The 19,544-nt window shown below is 40.1% G+C and overlaps 1 protein-coding gene across 33 annotated transcripts in view; it reads right to left on the bottom strand.

Moving 5' to 3' along the window:
- The window catches only part of UNC79 (unc-79 subunit of NALCN channel complex), a 374,695-nt gene that overhangs the window by 53,228 nt on the left and 301,923 nt on the right, over positions 1-19,544 (bottom strand). For all 33 annotated transcript variants that reach the window (XM_011537027.3, NM_020818.5, XM_011537026.3 and 30 more), the window contains 6 exons: positions 17,350-17,433; positions 13,402-13,504; positions 10,952-11,092; positions 8,003-8,041; positions 795-907; positions 624-709 (listed from right to left, as the gene is read on the bottom strand). In XM_011537027.3, coding sequence (XP_011535329.1) covers positions 624-709; positions 795-907; positions 8,003-8,041; positions 10,952-11,092; positions 13,402-13,504; positions 17,350-17,433 — 566 coding nt within the window. The remainder of the gene's footprint in view (positions 1-623; positions 710-794; positions 908-8,002; positions 8,042-10,951; positions 11,093-13,401; positions 13,505-17,349; positions 17,434-19,544) is intronic.

The raw sequence follows: 19,544 nt of genomic DNA, 5'->3' as shown, positions 1-19,544 counted from the left end.
TATTTCTTAATTAACTTTTTAAAATTTAAATTATGTTAATTTTTAAAATTTAAATTATGTTAATTTTTAAAATTTAAATTATTTAAATTTTAGCATTTTCTATTATTTTTCTTTTGAGTTGGGGGTCTCGCTCCGTTGCGAGTGTAATGTAGCCATTGGAGTGTAATGTAGCCATTACAACTTGGAGTGTAATGTAGCCATCACAGCTCACTGCAGCCCCCAACTCCTGAGTTCAAGTGATCCTTCCCCCTCAGTCTCCTGAGTAGCTGGGACTACAGGCATGTGTCACCATGCCAGCTAATTTCTTTTATTTTTATTTTGTAGAGATGGGGGTCTTGCTATGTTGCACAGGCTAGTCTTGAACTCCTGGCCTCGAGCAATCCTCCTGCCTCAGTCTCCCAAAGTGCTGGGATTATAGGCATGAGCCACTGCACTCAGCCCTTAGCTTTAAATTTAATATATATTTTTTAATTTTAAAATTTTAGATTTCATTTTTAAATTAAATAACATTGCAATCCTTCCTCAGCAGTATCCTATGGTGTGACTCAAAGAAACACAGCCCACAGTTGTGCTGGGGCTTAGAGTTTCGGCTGGGGCTTAGGGTGTCATTAAAGGAAACCCACCTCTAGGAGCTGACTGAGAGCTGCGATGGAGCTCAGCTCATTGAAGTCCATCAGAGACGAGGCTAAGGTCCGTAAAAAAGTCCCATCTGGAAAGTCAACGATCGGATTTAGTGTTTGGGTGTCTGGGATGAGGCAAATTTGTGGTGCCTGGATCCTCAGTGGATGAATTACCTTTGATCGTGCTTTGGAACAGCTGCGGGAAGATGCCGTTGGGGGCCAACTGATGGAAGATGCAGCGCAGGAACTGCTTGGCCACCCCCGCCGCATTGCCGGGAACCATCATGCTGGAGTTGAACAGGGGAGAAAAGACACGAAGTCATGGGCCAGTGAGCAGGTGTTCAGATATTTACTTAGAGTTCAGACATTTGCACACCATGCCTCTGATGGGATAGCTCACTGTCATGTTCATCAGTGAAATGAAATATTCTACTCAAACCTAATCCCTGTTAACAAGAAGTTTTTAGAAAGAGAGAACCATGAAATGCCAGTGTAGTCTCAGACGTATTCCAGGTCCCACAATGGACTCAGGAAGGTTATGAGATCCTGAGAGAAGAGGTCACATACAAAGGTCACATGCTCACAGAATGACAGTCAAGACTGGAGCCCTGGATGAGGATTACCAGGAAAATCCTCCCAGGAAAGTGTCACTGGCTAAGACAGAGTTGCTCTGAGGAAAAAAAAATTCATATATATATATATATATGCAGTGAGAGAGATGTTCATTCTCATTAGGAGATGTGGGAAGTTTTCTTTGGGCATCTGAGCTGACACTTGTAAAAAGGCTGGACTTTGACAGGTGCAATTTGACCTTCACCCTTCATGTGCACCTCTGCACATCAAAAGTAGGGCCAAATTTATGAGGCCCTGCCCCTTAGACTAAGGTACCAGAAAGGATGCTTCTTGATGTAGTTAGGGGGTAAGTTACCAGAAGGAAAAAAGAGAAAATCAAAGAACGTAAATAGATAAAGAGTAAGAAGTACTGCTTACCTAATTATGCCAATTATTACCTCATTGTGCCACATCTACCCTGAAATGCTGGTTCAAAGTTTTAGGTCAAAAATATTCTTCAGGAAAAAATAACGCCGAACTTACAATAACTTCAGAAAATAGAGAAGGAGAGAACCCTTCCCAATTTGTTTGATGCAGGCAGCATAGCCCTAAAACTAAAATTAATAAAGCCATTATCAAAATAAATTTTAAAAAAGAAGGAAACAGAAAAGAAATGGGAAGAGGACAGACAGACCCATAGTCGTCATGGCCACTGAATCCAGCTATAGATTAAAAGACCAAGTAGGGTCATGACCAAGTAGAGTTTATTCCAAGAGAATAACAATAGTTTAATACTCAAAAATCAGCCAGTATAATTCAATATATTAAGAAATAACGGACAAAAAGCTTATATCTCAATAGATGCAGAAAATACATCTCACAAAAGTCAACACACATCATGACAAAAACTCAGACTGGGCCAGGCACAGTGACTATCGCCTGTAATCCCAGCATTTTGGGAGGCCAAGGCAGGAAGACTGCATGAGCCTAAGAGTTGGAGACCAGCCTGGGAAACAGGGCAAACCCCCCTCATTTCTACAAAAAATACAAAAAACTAGCTGGGCATGGTGGCACACACCTGTAGTCCCAGCTACTCAGGAGGCTGAGGTGGGAGGATCACTTGAGCCAGGGAGGTTGAGACTGACAAGATGGTGCCACTGCACTCCAGCCTGGGTGATAGAGCAAGACCCTGCCTCAACAACAGCAACAGCAACAACAACAAAAACCCTCAAACTGGAAATACCTCAATTTGCTAAAGGGCATCTATAAAAAAACCTATAGCTACTGCGATTAATAGTAAATATTGAATACTTTCCCTGTAAGAGAGGAAACAAGAAAAGGGTGCCGACTCTCCCATCTCTATGATTACACTGGCAGTCTGAGCCATTGCAATAAGGCAATAAAAAGAAACAAAAGGCGGGGTGCGGTGGCTCACGCCTGTAATCCCAGCACTTTGGGAGGCCGAGGTGGGTGGATCACCTGAGGTCAGGAGTTCCAGACCAGCCTGACCAACATAGAGAAACCATGGCCTCTAGTAAAAAAAAAAAAAAAAAAAAAAAAAAAATACAAAATTAGCCAGGTATGGTGGTGCATGCTATAATCCCAGCTACTTGGGAGCCTGAGGCAGGAGAATCCTTTAAACCCAGGAGGCAGAGGTTGCTGTGAGCCGAGATTGCACCACTGCATTCCAGCCTGGGCAACAAGAGCGAAACTCTGTTTCAAAAAAAACAAAAGAAACAAAAGGCATAAAGATCAGAAAGGAAGTAGTAAAACTCTTGCTATTTACAGATGATTTTTCCATACAAAATCAAATCCTAAAGAGATCTACAAAGCAACTACTAGAACTAATAAGTGAATTTAGCTAGAATACATGCTAATATGCAAAAATCAATTGTTATTTAGATATCAGCAACAAAAAGTTGAAATTTTTAAAAATTCCATTTACATTAGTATAAAAAACATAAAATTCTTGAGAATAAATTTAACAAAAATGGCAAGACCTCTACACTGAAAACTAAAAAACATTGCTGAGAGAAATTAAAGATCTCATGAAAATGAGATATATACCATGTTCATGAATTGGAAGATTCAATATTTTCATGCTGTCAGTTACCCCCAAATTGATTTGTTCTTTCAATACAAGCCCAGCAGACTTTTTTGATAAGAATGACAAGCTTATTCCAAAATTTATATGAAAATGTAAAGAATGTAGAGATCCAAACCAATCTTGAAAAAGATAACTAAATTTGGAGGACTAATGCTACCTGACTTTAACACTTACTACTTACTATGAAGGTACTATAATCAAGACAGTGTGGTGCAAACTTAAGAATTAATATATAGATCAATGGAACAGAATAGAGAGCCCAGAAATAGATCCACCCTTCCATGGTTTCTAAGCTTAACAGGCACCACAGTGATCCAATAAGAAAAGAAAATATCTTTTTTAACTGTGCTGAAAAACTGAATATCCACATAGATAAAAATGAACTCCTACTGCTGCCTCACACCATACATAAAAATTAATTTGAGATGGGTTTTATAAATGCCAAATATACATATGAAAACCATAAAGCCTTTATAAGAAAACATTAGAGAATATCTGCATGACTTGGAAGTAAACAAAGGTTTCTTAGACAAATAAAAAGAAGCAATAATTGTAATGTTTTGTTTTAATGCATTAGAATTCACCTAAATTAAACATTTCTCAGCAAAAGATACCACTAAGAAAAGAAATAGGCATGCCCCAGACTGGGTGAAAATATTCTCAAAACATACTTAACAAAGGACTAGTATTCAGTATATATAAAGTCTTACAACTCAGCAATAAAAAGACAACAACCCAATTAAAATATTCAAAAGATTTGACCAGACACTTCTCAAAAGAATATACGCAATGGGTCAATGAGCACTTGAAAAAATGTCATAGAGAAATGCAAGTTAAAACTATAATGAAATACCCATTACACATCCACCAGAATGACCAAAATTAAAAAGACCAACAATGCCAAAGTTGGGCAAGAATATGAAACAACCAGAATACATTGATGATTGGTAATATAAAGTGGCATAACCACTTTAAGAGAAGTTCCAGTAGTTTCTGATAAAATTAAACATATACCTATCCTGTAACCCAACAATATCATCCCTAGGTATTTTACCCAAGAGAAATAAAAACACTTGTTTTAAAAAGGGCTTTTATAAGAATGTTCACAATAGATCTATTTTTTTATACCCCCCAACTGAAAAAACCTAGAAGTCCTTCAATAAGAAAATAAAAAAGCAAATTATGGGATACAATTCAGCCTTGAAAAAGAAACAAACTCCTGATAAAAAAGCAGCAACATGGATAAATCTCAAAAACATCATGCTGAGTAACAGAAGTTGGACACAAAAGAGTGCATACAGTAGGATTCCATTGACATGAAGTCTAGAATGGGCAAAATCAACCCATGTGGAAAAATATCACAACAGTGTTTGCCTCTATGGGGGTAGAGATTAGCTGGAAACGTGCACGAGAGAACTTTCTGGGAATAATGGTAATGTTCTCTATCTTTACAGGGGTTTGGGTTACACAGTCATATGCATTTGACAAAACTCAAGGAATAAACACTTAAGATTTGTGCACTTCCTTGTATGTAAATTTTACAAAAGAAACAACCATCGTCAATGTACAATATGGTGAGTATAGTTAACAACAATGTATCGTATACTTGAAATTTGCTGAGAGAGTAGATTTCAAATGTTTTCACCAAAAAATAAAAAGATAACTATGTGAGGTGATATGTTAATTAGCTTGATTGTGGTAATCATTTCACAATGTACACATCTATCAAAAGATCACATTTATATCTTAAATAGATATAATTTTTATTTCTCAATTATACCTCAATAAAGCTGGAGGAAAAAAGAAACAACTGTATACAAAAATTGAACTTGAGTTAATGCTAACTTTGCTGAAGTATGTAGGGGAAAATATATTCTAATATCTGAAATTTACTCTGAAATACATCCAAAAAAATGAATTGATGGATAGATAGATGGTTGGATGCATGATAAAGAAAATAAAATATTTGTTTTAAAATCTAGGTGATAGGTATATGAGAGTTCACTGTATAATTCTTTCAACTTTGCAGTATGTTTAAAATCTTCCATAAAAAATGTTAAGAAAATAAGTTTTTTAAAAAGCCATTCATCGAATAGAACATAAGAAAGAAAAGCAAACATCCCTAAAATAAATTATAGAAATGCGATGTCAACAATAATATCATCTTATGTTTGTAGGACCTGCTACAGTTATGCTATCATATACACTCTATCATTTGAGTCCACAGAAAATACCCCTGAGGCACAAGAAGGCATATATTAGTATCTCTCTTTTACAGATGAGGAAGCTAAGGCAGAGAGATCAATGTGGCCAAAGTCACACACAGCATCCGTCCCTGCCCTCTTCTGGTTCTTTCTCCCCACTGCAGTCAAAGTAGCCTTTCTACATGCTATACACACGCACGCACACACACACCTTGCTGCTTACAAATCCTTCACTGTCTTCCCACTGCTGCTAGAAGAAAGTCCAAAATATTTAATGTGGTTTATAAGTCATACACAATCTGGTAAGTCAAACTCAGCAAGTGCTTGCATCTCTGTGCTGTGGTTATATTGGCTTTTTCATAGTTCCTCCTACACACTGTTTTTACCATGCTCTTTCCATAACTATGTGCATAATCAGGTTAAACTCATTTTTTCAGATCTTAGTTTAAACATCACTTCTTAAGGGAAGCCCTCCCCTCATTCTCCCCTCCTCTACCACTACCAAGACCAGACTGGGACCACCCGTTACACCCACTCACACCATCAGCTCTCATCCAGGCTTGCTCATCTCAGCAAATGCCACACCCGCCCACCCAGTTGTTTAAACCAAAACCTAGGAGTCATTCTTGCCTCCTCTCTTTCTCTCACACCCAACATCCAATCTATCAGCAAATTCTGTTGGCTCTACTTCAAAATATTTCCTAAATATATCCTTAATGTGGCTGCCTCTCACCACTTTAGACCAAACCACTAACCTCTCACCTGCACCGCTAACATGGTCTCCAAACTGGTTCCCTCCTTCCATTTTTACCCCTTCCCCATAACCTATTTTCAACAGAGAAGCCAGAGGGGTCCTCAAAATTTTTTTTCCTTAAAAAGATTTATTTTATTGTGTAAGAACACTTAACATGAGAACTATTCTCTTAACAAGTGTTCATGTACAATACATTACTGTTGACTGTAGATGCAATGCCATACAGCAGATCTTCAGAGCTCATTCATCTGGCTTGACTAAAACTTCATGCCCCTTGATCAGTAACTAGGCAGTGATCCTTCAAAGCAGGTAATATGGTTTGCCTGTGTCTCCACCCAAATCTCATTTTGAATTGTAGCTCCCATAATTCCCACACGTTGTGGGAGGGGCCCAGTGGGAGATAACTGAATCATAGGGGTGGTTTTCCCCATACTGTCCTTGTGGTAGTGAATAAGTCTCACGAGATCTGATGGTTTTATAAATGGGAGTTCCCCTGCACAAGCTCTCTCTTTGCTGGCTGCCATGTAAGACGTCCCTTTGCTCTTCCTTCATCTTCCACCATGATTGTGAGGCCTCCCCAGCCATGTGGAACTGTGAGTCAATTAAACCACTTTCTTTTATAAATTACCCAGTCTTAGGCATGTCATTATCAGCAGTGTGAAAGTGGACTAATGCAGCAGGTTAAAGCACATTGCTCCTCACTCCAATGACTCCCTGCTGCATCCTTAAAATGACCTGCAGGGCTCTACTTGGCCTGGCTCACACTGCCTCTTCCCTCTCATCTCCTCCCACTCTTTTTCATACTCAACCTGCTCCAGCCACATTAGTCTGTTTTCCAAATATATGAGGCATTTTCCTGACTTAGAGACTTTGTATTTGCTGCTCCCTCTGCCTGGAATGTTATTTCTATAAATTACTGCATGGATCACTCTCTCACTTTATTCATGTTTTGTTCAAATATTACCTCCTCAAAAATGCTGTCCTTGACCATTATATCTAAAACACCAGCTCCGGGCACTCTCTATCTCCCAGACTTGCTAGATTCATTTTCTTGCATTTAGCACTAAATGATATCAAATTACATAGTCAGTTTTCCTGTTGGTTAATTTGCTTATTTTCTCCCTCCTCAAGTAGAATGTAAGTTCCGTGAGAGCCAGGATTTGATGTTTTGTTATAGTTACTATAACCTCAATAACTAGTAGTCACTCCATAAATACTTGTTGAATGAATTACTGTTATATAAGTCTCTCTGTACTTTTTCTTCATAGCACTTAGCACAGTTTACAATTATAAATTTGTGCAAATATTTTATTCACATTGGCTTCATGGATAGACTATAAGCCCCATGACGGCAGGAATCATGTCAGTTTTGCCCCCAGTGAAGGCCTGAGTGTCTAGCACAGGGTGGGCTTAAAAGTATTTGTTGGCTAAAATGAGTGAATGAATGAATGAATAAAGGCATGAACAGAAAATGAATAACTAGTGCTCTCTAGAGCTGCAATTGGAGCCTAACAATATTCCCTCCGTGGTGCACAAGCTGGTATTTTTTTTATTTTTTATTTTTTATTGAGACAGGGTCTTGCTATGTTGCCCAGGATGGTCTTGAACTCCCGGGCTCGAGTGATCCTCCCACCCTGGCCTCCCAAAGTGCTGAGATTACAGACGCGAGCCACTGCACCCAGCCCCACACTGGTGTTTTAGAAACAGGATGAACATGCACAGAGGAGAAAAGAAAGTGAGATCTGGGCTCCCGTTAGGACCTTACCTTTCTGCTTGATTAGAAAAGGTAGTACTGGATGCCAATCTAGGAAATAAAGTAAAGAGAGTCACACAAATATCTTAGGTTTCCATGATGAAATGCATTAATATTGTGGGAGGACCTGTTGTGTTTCCAGTTTAGATGGGGAGACATGTATAATGTTGACAATTCCCTTGACAGTACAGAGGGCCCACTCAGTGGTCAGTCTCTAGAGTTAAACTTGACCTAGTCCTTGAGACCTGCTATATCAAGTTAGACATTTTCATGGAAACACTTGCAGTTAAAGTTGGTTTTCTACAAAATGGTGCCTGCAGCCAGGCCAGACAGTTATCACAACAACATTTGACCCAGCTCCTCTCCATATTAACTCAACTCGAAATTCATTTCTTTGTATATAACCTCTGAAACCTAACTATAAACAAACCACAAGTGGTAAAAGCCTCCATAAGATAGTAAAATAGATAACAGGAATATTTGTCAGCTGTTGGGTTGAAATGAGGAAAAAGGAAATGTTACATTGAGAAGAGAAATGTATTGGTTAAGTAAACGATATGGAGCATGTAATTTCCAGAAAAGTATAATTATACGGTTCTGTATGTGTGGAAATATTCTATATGTTATCATATAGAAAGAGAATGGACTATACTGATGGGTTTAGAATAACATGTCTGGATCAGTAAGATACTGAAGAAACAGATAAGGAGAATGTTGCAAATTTATTTACTTGATTAGGACTACAGGTGTAAGAGTGAGCTGAGCCAAGACCCCACTTAGAGAAGAATAGGGGGTCCAGCAACCACTAACACCAGACACCATTCCCAGTTGTGTTGTTTACAGACCTTCTCATGCTAATGTCACTACAAAAAATAGATAAACATTGACAAGTAAACTAAACAGTAACAGTAATTAATGGTGCAGCAAATGAGATTTTAAAGGCTGTACCTACAGAAAGGGATCATGTAAGAGGGATCCAAGCAGACAGCAAAGTATGAGATCATATGGAAAAGCTTGAGTGATCCACGAAAGCGTTATGCTGAGCTTACAAACTCTTGGAATTGCTGGGAATGGTCCCCGTGGTCATAATTAGCGCAAATAAACAATGTGTTTGTAAAACCACATGATCTCATCTGTTCTTCGTGATGAAGTGAGGCATGCCAGGAAGCCCTGAATTAGCTGACAGTTGAATCTGTTTTCTTGGTAGCTTTGGTGATTAGGCTTAGGTTGCTAAGAATTGTGGCAGCTTGCACTAAATGTACTCCCTGTCTCTTGCTAGTCTACCCAAAGGAGGTAGAGATTTAAATATATGTGTATGTAAATATGTAAAAATGTATCTGCTACTGGTTTTCCCTTGCTTTTCTTCAAAGCTCATGTGTTTCAATCCTAACAGTTGGCAATGTTTGAACACATATTGTTCTCACTTATGTTAAAACAAACAAAAGAAACAAAACTGAAACAAACCCCTCTATATAGCTATGACAACTTAGATCATCTGTTTCAAAGAGATGATAACAGACCAGAACAATAATTCTATACATTCTGAAACTAAGAAGTATTGATAGTAGAAATTGTGACCTGGTATTAATAAAAACTCTCAACTCCCCAAGTATTGCTGATAGCTGACAACATTTATTCTGCAATTACTATGACTAGGTCAAACTCAAGGGCTTAAATGAAGTAATTCATCTTCTCTTATCTCTCCATATCCCCATATCCATCCCTTACTTGGCACATGGGCTATTTTGAAGTCTTGAGATGCAATGGTCACACTTACCTTTATACAATCTGTCTATATGACTCCTAAGGACACTACCAAAAAAACTGGAGGGAGGGAGGATAAGAAAGCCATACACTTTTGGGGTTGAGGAGTTTATAATGCTTTCCTATTTGTCTTCAACTTGAAGTCAACATTTTTTCATTTTTAAAAAAGGATTAAATTTTAGCAACATTAAGAGTCATTCTCTTTCCTTTCCTCAAATGCCAAGAGTTTGCAGAATCCAGTTCTTGTGCTACCTCCTCCTTATAAACTTTAAGACATCTTTCCTATACTAATCTTCTCTAGCACTTAGCTCTCTCTCATTCCACTCATTACAGCATTTAATCACACCCTATCTTATTTGGCTAGTCAATGAGTCCACAGTAACTGTCACAGCAACTAAGCCCAAAGTACCTGAGGCCAAGAGCTCTGTCTAACGCCTGCAGCCTAAAGCACCTGGCACTGTTCACACAGATTGGAAATGTTAATACATTTATGTGGCATTTAATTCAACCCTCTCCTATAAGTTGTGCACGCTAAGACTACAGTTTGTTATTGAATTTGAGCTTTCTTCATATCCATGAAATATATCTTTATCTTCTAATGTCCTATCTACTAAATAGAATTTTCTTAGCATGAACACCCTCAAAGCAGCTAAGCGTAATCTCTCAGTCAGGTTGAAAGCCCTGTTCCCCAAATGTGTGCATCCTTCTTTTATCTGAGTCAGAAATGTGAACCTGCTATAATTACTATGTGTCTCCTCACACAACAATGCCCCAAGTTTCATAGTTAAATGAGGTGTCCTTGAGATTACAAATGCCTAGAAAATCCATCTCAAAACAGGTAAAGAGAAATAATAATAACAGGTAATACTTACGAAGTGTTTACTATCAACTGCTGACAGTTGTGTGCGTGGTTACAACCATTAGCTCATTTAGTGACAGGGGTAACAAACAGTGGGGTTTCCTTAGTGCAGTTGCCCCTAGCTTTGCTCTGACATTGTGACTCATGACCCTACGCAGCTGGAGAATTCAGTCGAAAGACGAGTCTATTTGGTTTTTAAAACTAGTCTGAGTTGATGTCACAAATACCAGTATCTACAAGGTGGCTGAATGTTTCACTTTTGAACTGGTAGTTTTTAGTTCAAGATAGAGACTGAATAAAGGACCTTCCTACCAAACAAAACAGAAGCTGACATTCACCTTCCCACAGACTGCATGATATCCAGCAGCAGCGGGGCTGCCAGGTCTGGGCTTAAGTGAATGAATGTGGAGAGGACCACGATGGCTAGCCCAAGTGTCTCTTCATCGTATTCTTCAAGAATGGCCCCACAGTCATGGCATCTGCAAAGAAAAGAGAGACATGCTTTCCATGAAAGAAAGAACCATGGTCTCAAGATATAATATACTACACACACGGCTGTTTTTAGTAGGTCTTGGAAAAGTCTCCAAAAGGAGATCAGGAGCCCCACTCTGGTAATCAGTAGAGGATTCCAGTGCTGCCATCACCACAGATACAGAAACAGCACACATGGTAGAGACCACGAAGGTGCCTCTGATGACTGAAAATGTTCTTTCAGTTCCCCAGCATCTGGCCTGCATGTGAGTGACTGCTCTCACTTAGAATGAGTACCAACTGGGCCATCAGTTTGAAGCCTGTGGATGAAGGATTTGATGCATTTGACATTATTGCTGAGGAAAGTCAGTAACTAGATTTGTTTTTAATTTGTTGAAGTTAAAAATGCAAAATGCTTAGGCACGGATGGAGGCTTTCAGAAAATGTTCTATTTGTGGGTAAGAGACAGGGTAGTCAAGTCTACAGAACCATCTGGAAAGCCTGAGGAGACAATGGAGTCTCTTCTCCACCACTCACTCAGATGAGTTTTATGAACTCACCAGGCCTGCCGAGTGTCATATGTAAAAGCACAAACAATGGCACCCGCTTTTAGGTAACTTCCAACCTACCGCTCTTTGTAGTGTCCTAATGTAGGGTCCATTTCATTCAACACGACCAAAGCCAGCTGATAAAGTGAGCAGTTTTATAAAAGGAAGCGAAAGTCTAATGGGAATAGCAGGGAATCAAGAACTACAACTGTTGTTGTGACCCTTCCTTCTGAAAACTTCCTAAATATAGGCCAAAGAAAGAGCATAAAAATTTCTTACAAATTGACATTTTAAAATACAGGATTCACATTTCTAAGTAAAAAAGAAAAGAAATGGAGTGCACAGAAAGGCAAATAGGAAAGATTAAGACTTGGGGAGCGGGGTAATCCCAAAGGAAGAGCTGGAGAGAGCCCTCCATGGGCAACTCAATGACCTGTGTGGACCTTCCAAGGCAGCTGCATGAGACAGGCACCACCGCTTCTTCAGTCATGGCTGTCAGGTCATTACAATGAGTAATGGATGGTCAGCTACAGGGATACTCACATCAGCCCCTTCCACCTTACCTTCCTCACTTTTTTTTTTTTTTTTTTTTGAGATGGAGTCTTGCTCTGTCACCCAGGCTGGAGTGCAGTGGCACAATCTCGGCTCACTGCAAGCTCCGCCTCCCAGGTTCACGACATTCTCCTGCCTCAGCCTCCCGAGTAGCTGGGACTACACGTGCCCGCCACCAGGCCCAGCTAATTTTTTTGTATTTTTAGTAGAGACAGGGTTTCACCATGTTAGCCAGGATGGTCTCGATCTCCTGACCTCGTGATCCACCCATCTCAGCCTCCCAAAGTGCTGGGATTACAGGCATGAGCCACCGCGCCTGGCCCCTTCCTCACCTTTTATCAGAAGCATACTGTATTAGTCTGTTCTCATGCTGCTAATAAAGACATACCCAAGACTAGGTAATTCATAAAGGAAAGACGTTTAATTGACTCTCAGTTCCACATGGCTGGAGTGGCCTCACAATCATGGTGGAAGGCAAGGGGGAGCAAAGTCACATCTTACATGGCAGGAGGCAAGAGAGCTTGTGCAGGGGAACTCCCATTCATAAAATCATCAGATCTCATGAGACTTATTCACTGCCATGAGAACAGTATGGGGGAAACTGCCCCCATGATTCAATTATCTCCACCTGGCCCCACCTTTGACATGTGGGGATTATTACAATTCAAGGTGAGATTTGGGTGGGAACATAGCCAAACCATATCATCTACCTAATTTATCAATCAGGTCACTTTTACCAAGAAGGCTTCCTGGTCCAAGGGGATTTCTCTAAACTTGAAATCTTACAAGTGCTTTGTTTTGTTTTGTTTTGCTTTTGAGACAGTCACTCTATCACCCAGGCAGGAGTGTAGTGGCGCTATCACAGCTCACCACAGCCTCAACCTCCCAGGCTCAAGTGATCCTCCCACCTCAGCCTCCCTAGCAGCTGGGACTACAGGCACACACCATCATACCTGGCTAATTTTAGTAATTTTAGTAGAAACAGGGTTTTGCCATGTTGCCCAGGCTAGTCTCAAACTCCTGGGCTCAAGCAATCCACCCGCTTTGGTTATTCTTTATCATACTCACTGAACAAGCATCTGTGTGCCAGGCAATATACTGGAGGAACAAATTATGACTTAAAAGCAAAGCATGCTTTTTCTGAAACTTTCTCACCACTGTGGTAACCAAACTTAAATTCTGTAAACATGGTGAAGAAAATAACTGTGCGAGCTTACTTGTCCGTCATCACCGTCGGCTGCTCGTCAGTGAACTCTTCAGGTGCAGGCACAAACATACTGACTATGCTTGGTGCTGATAGCAGGCTGGATTTGGTGGCACCTGGGTAAGCAGCAAAGGGACAACCAGTGAATATAGATGAGCTTCAAGGGGCCAAGAAAGGCCTGGTTCTCCTCTTAGAAACCCTCCAAAGATCACATTCCCAGGAATACAACTTGGACATCCCAACTGTACTGCAGAAAGCCCTCAATCATGAAATGAAGTCAAGAAAGATTGTGATTTGTTTCTGCTTGGTTGAAGTGAAGAGCTAGACTTCTCTCTCTTTGCTTCTTGACTTTGAAAGAAATCAGAAAGAGCTCAGGTGTGCCAGCAGGGTCCAAAGACAAAGATGAAAGACAAAGGGGAAAATCTATTCAAGGGTACCCTTAAAAGAGCTACAATTCTTATTTGTAGGCATAAATGGAAACTTCCCATATGATACTGCATTTCTAAAATCACAAACGCATATCAACATTACAGTTTTGCTAATATGGGAAGGTGGTAAGATCCCAGAACTCCATGCACTTAAGCAGTGGAGATCTTTGAGCTAAGAAATATCAGTGTGTTTGTTTGTTTGTTTGTGACAAGGTCTTGCTCTGTCACCCTGGTTGGAATGCAGTGGCGTGAGCACAGCTCACTGCAGCCTCAACCTCCCAGGCTGAAGCAATCCTCCCACCTCAGCCACACAAGTGGCTGGGGCTACAGGCACACGCCACAATGCCTGGCTAATTTTTAAGTTTTTGTAAAGACAAGGTCTCACCTTGTTACCTGGGCTTGTCTCAAGATCCTAGGCTCAAGGGATCCTCCCACCTCAGCCTCCCAAAATGCTAGGATTACAGCTGTGAGCCACTGTGCCTGGCCTTGCATTTTTCAAACTGAAGTATTTATGAATGTGATATCAAGTTTTTTTGAAGGAACCATCCAGTGACTCATTCCACGTCAGCCAATCGATACCACGGTGTTTAAAACTTTGGGGTTTGATGTCTTCAAAGAAATCTGAGGCAAGAATCTTAGCAACATGGTCCAGGGATGAGTAAATCAGTCTGGAAAGTCAGGAAGCTGTTCTCCATTAAGAAAGCCACTAGTGCAAGACAGAGTCTCATGAAAATGAAGCACCCCAAGAAGAATCTCAAAGGGATCATCCAGAATAATGCCATGTTCTACAAAGTAATAACTAAAACGCTAAGTTCCTCAAACAGGAAAGAAGGCAGAAAAATCCAAGAGTCATTAAATAATCTTTCTCATCAAGGAATTAGTATCTTGGTGCTGGGAGAAAACAAACAAGCAAACAAAAACCCGGTATGACCTTTCCTCAAATAGGGGAAAGATTTCCTCAAATAGGAGAATGATTCAGACAATGAGTTTCTAAAGGAATCAAAATATTCATAAAGCTAGCCAAGTGGGCAATGTGTTTCAATCTGAATTTTCGGAAGAAAAAATAGTGTTGAGCCTTTGAAAAGTCAAGATGCTTCCATTCTGCAGACTCCTTTGCCTGATCAAAGGTTACACGAGTATAAGAAGAACATTTGCAAATCCAAACTGCAAAGGAAAGTATCTGAAAATATCTTTATGTCACTTCCTAAGCTCCCAAATGGGAATCCAAATTTTACTACTATGTTTATCAGCTATATCCAAGATAACATCCTTCCCTAAGTATACGTAAGTGTATAATTCACAAAGATCTTCAATTGTTTCATAAAGATGTTACTTTGAGTGGAAGCAACAGAATTACAAGCATAAATGTACACTGATTAATAACAGAAAAGGCAAGAAATAGTCCAAGATAAATGAAGACACAATTGATTACTAAATAGCACGGTAAACCGCATGAAGTTGCTTCAAGAAACCAACACACAGAAAATTTAAATTCAATACTCCACATTTCTTGAACATTGACAGACCACATTGACCAGATGTCAGAATGCTTGTGCTAAAAGTGGAAAAATTCAGCCCATACAATATATGATGATACATACATAGACTTACTAGAAACATAAGAAATTGATTTTTTAATTAAAAAACCTCTGAGTCAAGCCTTTCAGAAGATTATTGCCAATTACTATTATATAGTAATCACAATTAAAGTCAAGAAAAGGGAGGCACTCGAAGTCATTCTGGCAGTTTCAAACTAATTATTGCCTAATACAAATGCCAAGAAAGAGGTGTTTTTGACAATAGCATTGTGAAGTTGTTTTTCCATATGACAGCACGGAATGTATGATGCAATATTTATGGCCGTCATCTATAAAAGCAGACAGGTTCAGTTATTGGACACTGATCCCCATAGGGCAACACTGGCTGAATCAATGGATCGCTAAATATTGCTACTGAAGTAGGAACAAAAAGTAATGTACTAGGAGGAGGTGGGAAATGCAAAAAGGAAGCCACAGACCTCAGCCACCGTTGTTATACTTCAGTCACAATAAGTCTGCAATGTTAAAGGCAGTCCCTATCACCCCCAAGTTGCTGCCGACATTTCTGATGCCTCCACTACTGGCTCCCCTTCTGAATAGCTGAAGTGCACGCTACACTGAGCTAGCAGCAGAAACAGAGGGCTCTCAGAAATTTGAATGAAGAGGGGCCCACCTCCAGAGCCCAACTTTGAAGCTGAAGATTTTGACAAAAGTCCCTTTGCGAGTCTTGGAGACAGGAAAAATTATGAAGGTGTTTGTCTCAAAGGCATGCATGGATCAATCCCCCAGCTGTACTGATGGGCTCTTGAGTTTACCATGAAAGAGACTGACTTTCCATCTTAGTGTTCTCATCACTTCATTCCACTTTTGCTGCTACTGAGTCACCAGATCATGAACAAGCACCAAAGATTTGTTCAACCACCCTTACTTCTACTCATCAAAGCTTTTCCTAGCCCCATAGATGAGAAGAATCTTACCTCATCCAGTACAGGGACTAAAACTGCTATTCATTGCCAAAGAAATGTGAGCAAAAGCTGGAGATCAATAGCACCTCATTCCTTAGGAAAATTAGAAGAGTGACATGGTCTAGAAAAATAGGTCTACTTGATTTAAAAGACTAGTTGTGAGATGGGATTATAATTCTTTCTGGGTATTCTGCTTTTCTACCAATGATAGGTTAATCTGCCTTCTCAATTAAAAAAGAACAAAGGTAACAATTAACTACTTTAAATTCATGGGATTAATTTTGAAAATGAATATTCTGACCTTAGCACAGATTGGCCTTCAGCTTGCTTCTGTGAGCAGCATCAATTCAAGTGAATCTTTTCAATGTATACTTCAGAGAGCTGGAAAGAAACTATTAGCCTATGACCTCAATATTCTAGAAAAAAATACAGATTAGCTGGACCATGCTCAGAAGAGTAGATATGGCATGATATGGAAAACTGATATGTCTGAGGAGGAATGCTGAAGGACCTAGGAATGTCTGGTCCAGAAAGGACTGAGGGAATAAGCAATGTCCAAAAATTATAGAAGAGGCCAGGCATGGTGGCTCATGCCTATAATCCCAGCACTTTGGGAGGTCGAGGCAGGTGGATCACCTGAGGTCAGGAGTTTGTGACTAGCCTGGCCAACATGGTGAAACCTCATCTCTACTAAAAGTACAAAAATTATCTGGGTGTGGTGGTGCATGCCTGTAATCCCAGCTACTCCTCGGGAGGCTGGGGCAGGAGAATGGCTTGAACATATATATATATGAGAGAAGACTAGACTTGTTTTGTGTGCAAGGGTTAGAAAGTCACTATAAGGAAGAACTGTTGGCCATGTTCAAAGATGAGATGTCACGCACTCTCAGCCACTGGGGGTGTTTGGGCAAAGGTCATCCCCACTCCATGGAGGTGCTAAGAAAAAGCCTGCACCTGCTGGGTGACCAAATGATGGACATGTCCAGTCTCCTTCAGCTTTTACAGCCAGAGACTCTGTGACTCAACTAACCTCTCATCCTCAATGGCTGTCCCTCCAGGTCAGGGTTTAGGCACGTTGGCACGTTACACTGGCGTTTCCCAGGCTGTATCTGTTCTGTGGATAAATAGAGGGTTTCAGTCTTTGATGTGGTCATCTTAGCACCATTTAGAACACAAAGAATTTAACCAATCATCTCTGGGGGCCAATTTTTTGGTCACTGTTACTATGTATTATTAACATTTACAGAACACATCCTAGATTTTAGGGTAGGGTTATTTGGGGCTTTACTACAAACCTGCCATTCAGTTCTATGAAATGCAACTAAAAGCAGGACAGCATCTAAAACTATCCCAAAAAGTCCAGACAAGCACCCCACCCTGCCCCCACAAAAAAGTTCAAATCTCATATCTCCAGATAGGAAACGAAAGGCTAATATCACAGCCATGACAGAAATGTTTTATGCAAATCAGTAAGTACATAAGTGATCATTTGGGGCAATGGCCAGAAAGGTCACACTGGAAACATGTGGAACTGGTAGAAGGAAATGACAGGTGTTGGACTGAGGGATGGGGAACAGGAATAAGGGGGAGGGGGCAAAAATGGAGGCATGGTGCTTCAAAAATGTTTGTTCACATGAAAGATGAGGCAAAGCAGTAAGTCATGGCGCCATGCATGGGTGGAGAAGAGGCAGGTCTCATATGCATGGGTGGAGAAGAGGCAGCTCTCAGGGTGGAGCTGGTGTGTGCTGACGTGAACTGATCAGATCCATGTTTTAGGCTGCCTTTCTCAGGTGCCTACATGGCCACATCTGTTCTGGTGGAGACCAGCAAATTACTGAAGCTACATGTGTAGTTTAAAGTGACATGCCACCTAACATTGTACTACACAGTCACAGACTCTCCCCTAGGCTCGGATGTGAGGAGGACTTTTTCTGGCGCTAATCAAAACAAGAATATTGAGATGATGCTTGTAGGACTTGGTGACTCGAGAACCACGAGAACCAATTTGGAGGATGGAAAACAGGCCCAGGAAAACTCGGGAAAGAAATTCAGACAGCATATAAATGGGAAATATTAAATGGCAAACCAGAGTGACATGAACAAGATTGAAATTTGGTTGAAAAGTGAAAAATTCCGTTAAATGGGTTATTTGGCATCATGTAGATTTTCTTAGATTAAAATTTGGACTGAAAATTGAGATCAGTTTGCCTTTTTATAACTACTGTGCCCATTGAAGTAGGTTGTCATTGTAGTCGGAATCTAAACTGGTTGGTTAGCTTAGGCTGAGCTACCTGCTGCAGAAAACAGAAGCAAGGTAAAAATCATCTTCAGAGCCCTCACATCAGCATTTAATTATCAGAGACCTAATCAAACAAAAGCTGCCATTCTCAGTTCCTTACATCGCTTCATCTCCATAAAGAAGAAAGCACAGTCCTCTTTGGTGTAGGCAGAAAGACTTCATTCAAACCCAGTGAACTCCTGAGGTTGGCTGTCCAGTCTTTCTCCTTCTCTCCCTTGCCTGTTGGCTCTTGGCTATTCACTGCTCACTACCACATATCACTAAAATGAAGAGAAAACACTAAACCTTTACAATGTAAAGAACCCTTATAAAGTCCAGGAGAGTTGAAACTATCTGTTAAATGTGAGATTGGGTATGCTGTGTGGGATTTAGTTATCTAGACTAGCACTCTCTCTCTCTCTCTAAGAATAATGAGGGCAAGTAAAATTATGTACATAAATACTATGGCTTTGAAGAAAATAAAAGTATCTCAATATTTTGCTTTTGTGGATATTATAATTCATAGTCATCAGGAAGAATATTAAAATAATCTCACATCACTGCAGCCAGAAAGTATTAATCACGATACTAAAAGAGTCCGATTCAAGGGTAGGCCCCAGAGCATATCACCATAATAAGCCCTTACATTTTAGTGGTGCATGCATGTTGCAAGGTGTTTTCACATATAGAATCTTGTAACTCAAATGACCCATTTAATTATGGAAGAAAAAAAACAGAAAAGGCAGGCACTTAAAAGAGGATTGTGGCTGTACTACTGGCTTGATAAGGTAGTACACGTACAAAACGTGGTAACAAAGTTTAGAAAATGCAGAGTGATCATGTTTAGAATAGACATGTCATGGCAGTCAATTCTTACTTTAAAATTGAGGTTAGATGCAGTTCCATCTTATGAGCATGGGGGTGTGCGGCTGCAACCTGGTGACCCT

This window comes from Homo sapiens, chromosome 14, assembly GCF_000001405.40.
Source record: "Homo sapiens chromosome 14, GRCh38.p14 Primary Assembly".
NCBI lineage: Eukaryota > Metazoa > Chordata > Mammalia > Primates > Hominidae > Homo > Homo sapiens.
This window is presented reverse-complemented; position numbering and strand designations above follow the sequence as displayed.